Source organism: Homo sapiens, chromosome 2 (genome assembly GCF_000001405.40).
Source record: "Homo sapiens chromosome 2, GRCh38.p14 Primary Assembly".
Classification (NCBI taxonomy): Eukaryota; Metazoa; Chordata; class Mammalia; order Primates; family Hominidae; genus Homo; species Homo sapiens.
In genome coordinates, this window is record NC_000002.12 from 164737606 (window position 1) to 164750097 (window position 12492).

The 12492-nt window shown below is 36.1% G+C and overlaps 1 protein-coding gene and 1 pseudogene across 10 annotated transcripts in view; one reads left to right on the top strand and one right to left on the bottom strand.

Annotated features, from left to right (window-relative positions):
• The window catches only part of COBLL1 (cordon-bleu WH2 repeat protein like 1), a 184146-nt gene that overhangs the window by 79675 nt on the left and 91979 nt on the right, over positions 1–12492 (bottom strand). For all 10 annotated transcript variants that reach the window (NM_001365671.1, NM_001365670.2, NM_001278460.2 and 7 more), the window contains one exon: positions 6082–6270. In NM_001365671.1, coding sequence (NP_001352600.1) covers positions 6082–6270 — 189 coding nt within the window. The remainder of the gene's footprint in view (positions 1–6081; positions 6271–12492) is intronic.
• LOC124906197 (uncharacterized) lies at positions 8707–8784 on the top strand (annotated as a pseudogene).

Sequence of the window (12492 nt, forward strand, 5' to 3'; positions counted from 1 at the left end):
ACCCTGCTATAAACATATATTTATCACACATTTGTCATCACTGGACACTTCTCAATAAATATAAATATGACGTGAACTTCAGAAATTTTTCTAGATCCATACTGTTGTTACTCTCGTTTTTTCAGCAAAAATCCCACACCGATCCCTTTATCTTGTCATTTTTCATAGTCTACTTTTTCCCAATAGGTGGCGCTGTAATCCATGTAAAATGCTCCCGAGTTCCTCAGCGGACCAACCCTATGCCAGGCAAAACCGCGGGCTTAGGCTCAACTCTGCTGTAAACTGGTGCTATGGGACAGGTAAATCAGGCTGAAAAGCATGTGCGACATGTCTCTGGGTTATTTTATGTGAAAAGCCCAGAGAGGTGAGGTGACTTGCTTGAGATCACACAGCAAGTCTAGAACAAACTGTAACTTCTAGTTGGGACTTCTAGCTTGGAGTTCTGTGCTTTCTTTGTGTTTTCAATTATGACATCTCACATGTGCTCCAATCAAAACAAATTCCTATTTGTGGTAAGGGCGTAAAAGAAATATCTTCCTCTGTTATAAATGGTGCTTATTTCTTCCTCCCTCTTGTAGGAAAGTGTGATAGCATGCCATTGAATGCTCTCTCAACAGGCTAAGAAGGATTCGTGTCAATCTTTTCAGATTTCCCAAAATGAACATTTTGCTTTAAAAGTTTAGCCTGGAGAAAGGGAAAAGAGGAAAAAGGAACTAATACTTATTCAATGAGGAATAATTACCTATGAAGCTGATACCCGACTATAAGATGAAGACCATATACAGATCATATACAAATGTACCCACATATTTCCTTATTCTATGTGGTTTCTATATCTGTTTAGTCTATAAGCTCACTTTCATTAAAAATTAACTTTTCCCAAGTACTAGCAGACACCACTGCTTATGCTGTTGTGAAGTATAGCATTTTCTGAGAAGAAGAGCCACGAGTTCTGTAACAGTAGTCCTTTAATGTTCATTTCTAGAAAGGCAAGGAACTGCTTTGACTGGTGAAAAAGATGTTTATCGATTATATACATGATACACAGACACACAGAAACAGGTTGAGTATCCCTCATCCAACATTCTTAAGGCATGAAGTGTTTTACATTTCACATTTTTTTTCAGATTTTGAAGTATTTGCATTACACGAGTTGAGCATCTCTAATCTGGAAATCCAAAATTTGAAATGCTCCAATAAACATTTCCTTTGAGCATCATATTCACACTCAAAAAGTTTTGGAATTTGAAGCATTTGAGATTTTGGATTTGGTATACACAGTCTATACACAGACGCACACATTTATATATGTGTGCAAACATATATACATACATACACATAGACATACACACACATACATCTATACTACACTGTATCTTATATATAAATTAAATATTTTAATTCCTCCTTCTTTCAGTCCAACCATCCATGATATTAGGATATGCAGAAATGCCCAAGAGTTTTCAGGTTAGCATGGCAACCCCCGCCCAATGTAAGCAGAGCCTCACAAAGGCAAGATAGTAGAGACATGGTGACTTTTGGTCATTAAAGAGATGGCATCACTAAGTTCTGGTACCAAAAATAGTTGAGCTGGCAGATGGCTACCAACCTAATTCAGGATAATAAGTTTCTCCCTGAGCATAAAGTCTGTGACCACCGCCAACCCCACTGTGTTTCCTAATCTGAACAAGCTCTTTGGTGAAAATCAATGTACAAACAAGTGCGTTCTTCTGAAGATACCACTGTGCACTCACATTCCCCAAAATAGAACATCCTGAGCCCACCTGTGCATGAGATCTATGGGGGGACTTTCCAAAAATATTCCCCAAGAACACATTTTGAGTGGGAAACTTATTTCTGAAAAGTGAACTGAGGCATATAAGTTTCTGAAATCTGTACTTCCGTCAAACATTGATAGTATTCTTCACAATAAAGGCATAAGAAATAGTACTACACTATCAAAATAAATATACAAGAAATATTCAGACAAATTCAGAAAGCATGGTCTCAAAAAACTGCATTGAAGTCTTTTCAGAGTTACATATAGAACTCTATTTATCTAAGAAACTCTCACACACTTAAAATTACCTCCACCAAATTCTTGTATTATTCTGTTGAGATTTTTCATATTCCTTTTATATGGTAGTAACAAAGCCATGAAGAAATTTTATTTTTGTCATTATGAGTCTTCCCATTAGGTAGTTAACATTTTTCAGTAGTAGTACATAATTTTCTATTTGAACATTTCTTTTTGTTGTTAAACAGTTTTGTGAAACAATGGGTCAGCAGCAGCTGTGACACTCAAGACATCCCTAATCACACTATTAAGATATCCCAAGTCACACTTTTAAGATATATCAAGTCAAACTCTAAAACATCTTGGATCGCATTAAGATATCCCAGAATCACACTCCTAAGATATTCAGAATCACACAACTACTTTAAATCACAAACACTTAAAATAGAAAATTAGTCATAGCATCAATGAGTCATGCCTGAATTATAAAACTACTGCGAACAAAGTCCCTAAATGAAACCCCATAGTAAAAACACTGATATACATGCTGGGCAACATGGGGAAATCCCATCTCTACAAAAAATACAAGAATTAGCTGGGCATGGTAGCACACGCCTGTGGTCCTAGCTACTTGGGAGGCTGGGGTGGGAAGATTGCTTGAGTCTGGGAGGCAGAAGCTGCAGTGAGTCCAGCTCTTACCACTGCACTCCAGCCTGTGTGACTGAAACCCCATCTAAACAAACAAACAAACAAAAACACTGATATAAATTCTACTCTCAGAAAAACTCTTCAGCCCTAAACAAAATTTAAAAAGGAATCAGAATTTGGGGCATTCCATTCCTACCTTGCTCTCTGCCTGGAGAAAATATCTTTACTTAAAAGATTCTGGGTAAACAACTAGGACTCATTCCAAGTGCTTCTTCATACCATTTATGTTGCTACCTCCATCTACACATAAGGGTTTAGGAAGACAATATTCATTTTGATAAATTCATGAAATGCCTACCACATTGCAAGAAACTGTGCTAGGCACTATAAAGAAAAGTAATGATATTCTCATGGCTCTGTGGTTTCTTCAAAAGGTAAGACCTACACATACATTGCAGCATAGAACAATATGTAATAAATATGATATAAAGTGTCGGAAGATTTTGGAAGCCAGAGTTAATCACTGATTCTGGGGAGATCAGGGAGCCTTTATATAAAATATGTCACCTGAGCTATATAAACTAACTGGAGAAAATGAGGCTAGTGAGTTACACGAGGGGGGGAAAAGTTCATAAACGTATTGAGGTGAAAGAAATAGAGTATTTGTAGAAGAACAAAGGAAGAGCAAGAGGCATGTGGTGAAGCTTAAGATACACAAAGAAGGGCCAGGCACAGTGGCTCATGTCTGTAATCTCAGCACTTTGGGAGGCTGAGGTGGGTGGATCACCTGAGGTCAGGAGTTCGAGACCAGCCTGGCCAATATGGTGAAATCCCATCTCTTCTAAAAATACAAAAATTAGCTGGGCATGGTGGTGTTCATCTGTAATCCCAGCTACTTGGGACACTGGGGCAGGAGAATTGCTTGAACCCGGGAGGTGGAGGTTGCCGTGAGCCAAGATCCCGCCAATGCACTCCAGCCTGCGCAACAGAGCAAGACTGTCTCAAAAAACAAACAAAAAAAAGATACACAAAGGAAGGAGAGTGGTGGTGAAGGAAAAGCCTACTTAATTTTGGAGGAGAAAATAAGGTATCCCAATCTCCAGGCTAGGTAGTTTGGACTCCTTTAATTTGACATTGAATTGCTGTCCTGCAGTCTTTTATCAAAGGTAGTACCACAAACAGAGAGGCATTTTAGATTAATCTGAGGGTGCAAGGTAAATGAAGAGAGCCCAGGGTTAAGAAAAGCAGTTCCCAATTAAAAAAAAAAAAAAGAGAGAAAGCCAATAGGCGCCAAGCCCTGATAGTATTTCATTTAATCATATTTAATCCTATCAATTCGGCTATAATACATTTTCATAGATTTAAAAAACTGCAGCAATTCAACAACAGTTGGTGGCCCAGAAACATAAAGCTGACTGATGGAAAGTTACTCAGATTTAGGGACCTGAGGGGGCAAACATGCTGGAGGGAGGGTGGGAAAAATCTAGGGTGCTTGTAAGTACAAATGTAGGTGAAATATCTGATGCAGAATCTATCAGGTATGAAGAAAAAATACATATGAAGAAAATTTAGACATGAAGAAAATTGCAGCATCCTACAGAACAGTCATAAATTAGACTTGAGGAGGATGAAGAACTAATTCAGTTAAAGAGAAAGTGGATAAGCTAGATGTTTAAAAAGCTGGTATTCAAATAAGGAACCCTAAGATCTCAGAAATGGAACCGTTTTAAAGTGATGAGATTCCACCATTCTCTGGTGGAAACAGGAAAGTTGACCATGGATCTCGGTTTCCAGAGTTGAGGAAACAGAAGAAAAGTTAACTCGGGGTGGCATGTGGAAAAGTCTAAAATAACTATGACGGGTGACAGGACGGAGAGAAAAAACACGCTTCTGATATTAAAGTCACTGAGGTTTAAAAAACAAAATCTGAAGAACCCAGAGGTGCAATGATAGCAAACAGAGAATAAGGCAATATGAAGAGATGACTGTTACATCCCTAAGAAGAAATTTTCAAGAGTATTTGTGATGAAACCAACATCACCTGAAACCCTGAAGAACTAGAAAAAAAGTTGACTTTTTTTTTCTTATTTTGAATTCAGGAAAAATTAAAAAAAAATAAAAAAGGAATTGCCTTTATTACCCCCAGCCAGATCCATTAACCCTTTAAAACCAGAGTAATATTATTTCAAGAATTGATGATAATGGCCATTGTCTCTAACTTTCAAGATGTCTTTCTCACACATACGAGGCCATCCACAGCTGCAGGTGGGAGCCTACCACAGACAATTTTCTCAATCTCATAAATAGGGTTCAATGTGTGATCTCCAAAGTGACTTTCAATACAAAATAAATGGCAAAATGCAACTTCCTCAAATTTAATCAGAGTTAAATAATACTATATTATTTGCTAAAGCTGAACTATTTTGTTTTCATCTACTTTAAATAATCTGTAAAGTTACACATGATTTTAATGATAAATCTTAAAATTAAGGTTACCTTGAATGAGTTTTTCTAGACAAAACCAGATTATAAGAATGCAATACCCAATATATTCTTTTCCTTATACACAACACACACACACAGAGAAAGAGAGAGAGAGAGCGAGCGAGCGAGCTAAGGTCAAAACAGCTTAAATTTCTAAAACAGGATTCCTGATAACAAATAGGCAGTTGAAGGTGAAAGAACAAGACCAAGTCTATAGTTCATGTAACTTTCCACTTCAAAGTGAAATGGAAAATTACACTTGGCTTTTTTCCATTTTTCCAATTTTCGCAAAGGTATTTAAAAATACCAGTCTTCTAAATCACATCTTTCCTTTTTGCTGGGATAAAGTTTGATTTTACTTTTCTACTTAACTCACCCACATTTTAAATAAAGTAATTAAATCATTCAATGAAATAAAAAAACTGCCAATTAATTTACAGACAGATTTAACTGTTTTGATACATACAAAAGTATTACATTTTAAGAGTAATAAAACTCTTAAAATTAAGAGTTTTGTAAACTTAAAGAAGCAGCTTAAAGTGGGAAGAACAATTTGAGAAGAAAAGGATAGGATTTTCCTGTGGGTCACTGGGCTTGTTTTGTAAGTTTGGTTTACAAAATCAATATAACTAATGGCCATTCCTCCAGGAAAGGCTTATTTTTAAAAACTTGTTAAATAACTAACGAGATATGAAAGGGTTCCAAATTTCAAGAGTCATTTAATTGGGTTTGTGGAATTCATAGCACTGATATTAAAACATTGATAGAAAATTTTTAACACCATTTTAGCAGTCTTTTTTTTTAACAGGTAACTAAACTGAGTGATAAATGAAGTGTTTTGTCAAAGAACAAACATCAAGACGTATATCACAGAGACTTTCAATGGTGGAATAAGAAGGGGAGGTCCTGATATTTCATTTACTCCAGCGTACCTGCCATGAACAGTAGTAGATTTGATAATATCCCCAGGTAGGACCACTGAGAGTTCAACGTCTTTATCTATCATGTTTTCTTTCTGTTCCATGATGAAAGCAGTGGATTCTACAGAATCAGCAGCTGAAGAGACATCAGTATATTTGGTCTCAGCTGGAGGAAGTGGTGCCTTGGCTTTTGGTTTTCTCCTAAAATATAAAGAAAACACAAAAAATACAAAATATTTTATTTTTAAGGTAACTTTTTAATATGATGTATTTTTATAAATATGATCTAGTAGTGGTTTTTCACATCTAGAAAAAATGTTCTACAATGTTAACTGTTAGTGTTGGATGGTCGAATTAGGATTTTGTTTTCCTTTTCCAGTCAGCATTTTGTTTTGTTTTGAGTACTATGCCTACATTACTTGGACATAAAAAGAAACATGATAAAGAAATTTTATATTGGCCTCTATTAAATTTAGTTACTGTGTGTTCACTATAGCAAGTCAAGAGGAAAATGTATTTTCTTTGATTAGATAAATTACAAAAATCCTTAATGTTTCAGGATAGAGATCAGTATCTCACTCTCATTTCACAGTAACTCTTACCTTTGGGCCCTTCATCCTATTTGTTTCCGATGTAGTATGTTCCACCTCTCGATTCAGACAAACCCTACCTTATCCTTCAGAGACTAGTTAAATTCACCCTGTTTGCCCCAAACTACCCCTTCCACAGAATTTCTTCCTTCTTTGAATTGATATAGCACATACCAATTCCATAGATGTAACTTTTTAGATCTTTTGGGGGGTACCAGTTTCAACTCTCTACCTACATTTATAACTCCCTGCAAAAAAGAAGCATGAAGCATGCTAGCCAGATGTGGTGGCACACAGCAGAGATTCCAGTTACTCGGCAGACAGGTGGGGGGATCCATTGAGTCCAGGAGTTTGAGTCCAGCCTGCGCAACATGGTGAGACCCTATCTCAAAGAATGAAAGCAAGAAAGCCGCATGGTATGGATGGCTGTATTTCCCACTGCACATAGATGGCTATTTCCCACTGTACCTAGCAATGAACTATGATGGGTTGTTTGATAAATAATATATCTGCTTCAATGAAAAACATTACTAATAATTTTCTAATAAATATTTTTGCATCACTAAGACAACCTCTTAACTAACTTATAACAGAAATAGTAGACATTCTGAACTTACATAGGCCAATCCAATGATTTGATGGATTGAAAAAATAAAATATGAAAATAAACTATAAGTAATGACATATTTATGGTTTTATTTAAAACACTGTGAATTAAAGTTTTTGAAACTATTACCTTTATAAAAGGCTAATTGGTTTTAGAAAAATGAATACTACTCCTTTCCACTCAGAAAAATACAGATTTCAATTCCTCCCATCCTTACTTGCTAGGCAAACATAAGAACCAAACAGGATCAAAAGGCTTCTTTATAAGTAAATATATAACATCCACCTATTCGGTATTTTCAAAATTTAAGGTCTCACAACTCCAACTCCTTTAACATATGACTCATCGTGAAAAGACTGAAGCAAGGTTCCTACAATGTACATTCATTTACTAAAATAACAAGCCCTTAACTCTTAGTGGTATAATAATAGAAACATATTGTACTTCAGAAAAGACTTATTTTACAAGAGCAACAAAACTACATTTTAAAAAACTGTTACAATGAATAAAAGCTTATGAAAATCCCTGTAAAGAAGAATGCCCCCCAATTTCAAATTTCAATTTTTAAATCTGCGGAAATTAACCACTCATGTATAACAAATATTTATTTTATAACAGACAATTATCAGAGCAGATTCAGCTAAACACAGGAAAGGTAAAGATGAGTAAGACTCAGTTCCTATTCCTGAAGGGTTCATCGCCCCAAAGGATTGACAGGCAGGCAAAATTACCATCAAGTTTGATGACTGCTCTAACACAGGTATGCAGATGGTGCAGCTGCGGGTCACAGGAAGAAAACACAACTTTCTTAGGAATCCAGAAATGTCTTACAGATGGGAAACATGAGCTGGGTTTTGGAGAATGAATAGAAACACACAGAAAAAGGCAAGAAATAACTGATATTTTTGGCAGAGGAAAGTTAATAGAACCATAAAAGAAAATGGTAATTTTTGGAATTAAATGGTTTGGTAAAATTGCACAGAGAAGTCAAAAGAGATGAGAAATCAGCGAATCGACTGAAACATTTTATAAGTAAGAGAACTCAGTAAGGTAGGTTGGCACAAAGTTCATATATGAAAGTGTCAATAGCCTACCTAAATATCAGCAAAAACTCATCAGAAAGTACAATGAAAGAAAAAGTAACTTTGGTAATAGCAACAAAAATGAATTTTAAAAAGACTCTCCAAGTATTCCCATCTCAGTCAATCACATTTCTTTCATTTGTCCAGACCAAAAATCCTTGTTCTCATAAACATACATCTAATCCATCTACAAATTCCGCCAGCTCTATATCATAAATAGACCCAGAATCCACCAACCACCTGGATCACCAAATACCTCTGCTCAAGCTGCCAACTGGTGTCCCTGCTCCCAACCTTGTCACTTCATAATCTAGTCTCAACGAAACAACCAGAGTGATCTTTTTAAAATACAAGTTAGAAGACTAAACTTTCAGGGGTCATTTCTATAGTTCATTACTAGAGAAGTTTCTCTGAATGTGTGGAAAAATAAGTCAATAAAATAATAAAATAAAATACAAGTCAGCTCACTGCCTCACTTCTCACATTCTCCAATGGTTTCTTGCCTCAACCAGAAAAGATCTGGAGTGCTATACAAATGTTCCTCTACTTACGATGGGATTACAACCTGATAAATCCACCCTAAATTGAAAATATCAGTCAAAATGTACCAAATACCCCCAATAAACCCATCACAGAATCAGAAAATCATAATTCAAACCATCATAAATCCAGATGTCCCTCAATTTATGACGAGGTTACATTCTGACAAACCCACAATAAAGTTGAAAAATCATACATCAAACCATCGCAAGCAGGAGACCATCTGTAATAGGTCCTTCCTTCCTCCCTTACCTCCGGCCTCTCCAGTCCCCTATCTAACACTTTCTCCCTAGGATCACTGCATTCCAATCTCAGGACTCTTGCCTTTTCCTTGAACACATCCAGAATACCAGGCCCTCTACAGAGTCTGCTCCTGACCTTAACACCCCCATCTCTCTGCTTTACTTTTGGCCACAGGGTTAATGAGCAACATACTTATGTCTCCTTCTGTTAAAGGGTAATTAATTCCATGAGAGTAGGGACTTGTCTCTACCACCTTGTCCACACATTTGCAAATACACAGAATCTCTGGGACCATGCCTGCCATGTAGTAGGCACTGATACTTGCTGAAAGAGTGAATTCAATGACTACTTTCCACAGAAGATGCACTACCTAAGCCTAAAACTGGGAAGGAAAAGAGTCCTTACCACCAAAAAATAAAATGAGCTTTCATTTCAGGATTACTTGTCTGGGATTTTTTTTTTAAAATTAACTGATTATGTTTTATTTTTTACAAGATGAATGAAAAATACACACTGGATTTATTAGCAAGGGATAACTGACAACTTTGTAATTCTGGGGAAGCATTCCCTGTCTACTGCACACTGCAGTGAACTCCTCTCACTCACAGTTTTGATGTCTGTGTGTGACAGTTTTACTTCCTCAGGTAGTTTGTATCTATGATGAAAATCCATCTCTAATCACTATACATAAGCCAATTTCTTTTAAGATGGGGAAAGTAGGACAAAGCGCTACTTGAAAAACCATTCACACAGAACTTTTTTTTTAAGACAGGGTCTGGCTCTGTCACCTAGGCTGGAGTGCAGTGGAACAATCTCAGCTCACTGCATCCTCTATCTCCCAGGTTCAAGCGATTCTTGTGCCTTAGCCTCCTGGGTAGCTGGGACTACAGGCACATGCCCAGCTCATTTTTGTATTTTTACTAGACACCAGGTTTTGCCATGTTGGCCAGGCTGGTCTTGAACTCCTGACTTAAGCAATCCTCCCACCTCAGCCTCCCAAAGTGCTGGGATCACAGGCATGAGCCACCACACTGGGGCATTTACATTAGACTTCTAGGAAAAACATCCTAATGTTCTCAGTTGTTATTTCAATTTAATAATGTATTTGTAACTTTTGTTCCTGAAAAATGGAAAGCAATGTGAATAAGACCAAGATCCTTCCACAGTGAATGTGCAATACAACCGAGAAGATGCAATGCATAATTACATAATACAAAACGAAAAAGAAGGGTCATCAAACAGATGGCAACTTTGAAAATTTAGGTCAGTGAAAGCCAGCTGAGACCAGCTGTGTGTGGTGGGGAGCAGGATCAAGGCATGCTTCAAAGAGAAAAGACAAGAGACTCAGGTCTTGAAAGAAAAGTAGAATTTTGATAAGCAGAGCCTGTAGGGTCAATTATATGTTAGTTCCCAATTGTGATCCATACACATTAAATTTAGGAATGTGTTTATCCAGTTTGCTTACTACATAGTCCAGTCTAGTGAAAAGAATACCAGATGGAAGCCTGGATTTGGCCTGAATCCTAAGTAGCTTTAAGACTTTAACTTATTTGACCTTTTAGTCACCAGCAAAATTTTGAAAATATCTTTTACCTACTCACATTCTCCTAACATTAATTTTTTGGTCAGAGGCTCCGAAGTAATAACAAAATTGTCACCCAAAGTTAAAAGTACAGTGAAAATAATCAAATGTGTGTTATCATCTAAATATAGGAAATTCTGATAATATAAACTAAAGAGAAAAATGTAACATTAACATTCAATAACAACTATACTTAAGAATACTAAGTTTTTAAAATATTTAAATATTTAAAAATCACAGTAACTGCCATTGAAGCCTCCTCACCCCTTTTAAACGGGAATGTTTCAACCAGTTTTCTTATCAAATAGATTTTCACATATGCTTTTCTTCACCGGTGGCCTTGTTTGACTATCAGTCTACTCTTTAGAGGCTTTTCCCCTTAACAGTAAACAACAGCAAATTTCACATAAGGGTAGGTGGAGAGGAGGTTATACTGGAAAGATATTTATAATAAGAAAACTCCCCCACATCAGGGCAAAAATTCATTATTCAAGCTTAAAAATAACAAGCTACAGTAAATTATTGCTTATGCAAATCATTGCTTTATTAAAATTATCTCAATATTATACTCAATTTTAATAATGAGAATTAAGGCAAAATTTGCATTATTCAATAATATATTTTGATAATATCATAATCTCATTTTAACACCGAATTCAATTAGTGTCCTACTATTACTGCTGATTGGTCTTTTTATCATTTTGATTTACAGGGCACTCCAAAATCATGTGCCCACTGTAATCATTACTCCATTACTGTCAATATAATATCCTTAAAATAGATAAAAAGAGGAAATAAAAGAGCTCAGCAAAACATAATTCTAGTCTTGATTTGAAAAAGCAAAGGTTTAAAATGCTGTATGAGATATACTTACATCCTTAATAAGCTACTCAACTCCAATGGGCTCTCATCAGTTTGCTGTATTTATCATATTTATAAAGTATTCTTATAGATTCATTCAGAAAAGTGCTATACAAAAAATATGGCTTCAATATTAAATACAAAAATATGAGTGAATTCTCAGTCTTAAAACAATAGGGTTTTTAAGTATTGCAGTCTAAAGACCAAAAATAAATTTAACAGTAACCCTCTCTCAGCACAAAGAGGGCAATCAAACATAGATAGGATTTATTGTGGTAAGTGTTGATGAGGCAGTCCTTCAAAATAACTGGCAGTGTTTTGATGGCCACTAAAGTATGTATTTCAATTATAAATTGAAGACCAATTTCTCAACACGATTTCTCAGTTTCTCTGTCTGGGTTTAATGAAACAACAGAAGAATTTTTTAAACAAGATTTGTTCAGAAGTGGGCATAACATTGTATTATGTGCTCAAGAGAATACAATTAAAAACAATAAAGCCCTTTTTTCTTGATGAGCCTAATTTCAAATAGTGAGTATGTCAAAAGGGCTTGAAAAGATATGCAATAATGAAAATCGACAAGGAGAAACCCAAAACATTATATGACTCTCATATTACATTTTTTTTTTCTCAAGGTTGCCAATAACCTATGAGGGTCCAAATCATAGACAACTGTCTGTCTCATCTTGGTCACACTGAGCACTATTTCACAGCCACTCAAGTCCTCTGTGAGGGATTGTCTTCCCTTGGCTTCTTCATGTGGGCACACAATCTACTGTTTCTTCCTTCTTCACTGCCACTCCTCAGTCTCCCCATCCTCACCTCCTCTGATTTCTAAATGTTGGGGCAACCCAGGGTCCATTCTCTGCCTTTTTCTCTTCTTTCTACAACCTCCACCTCCAAGAGACTTCATAAAAG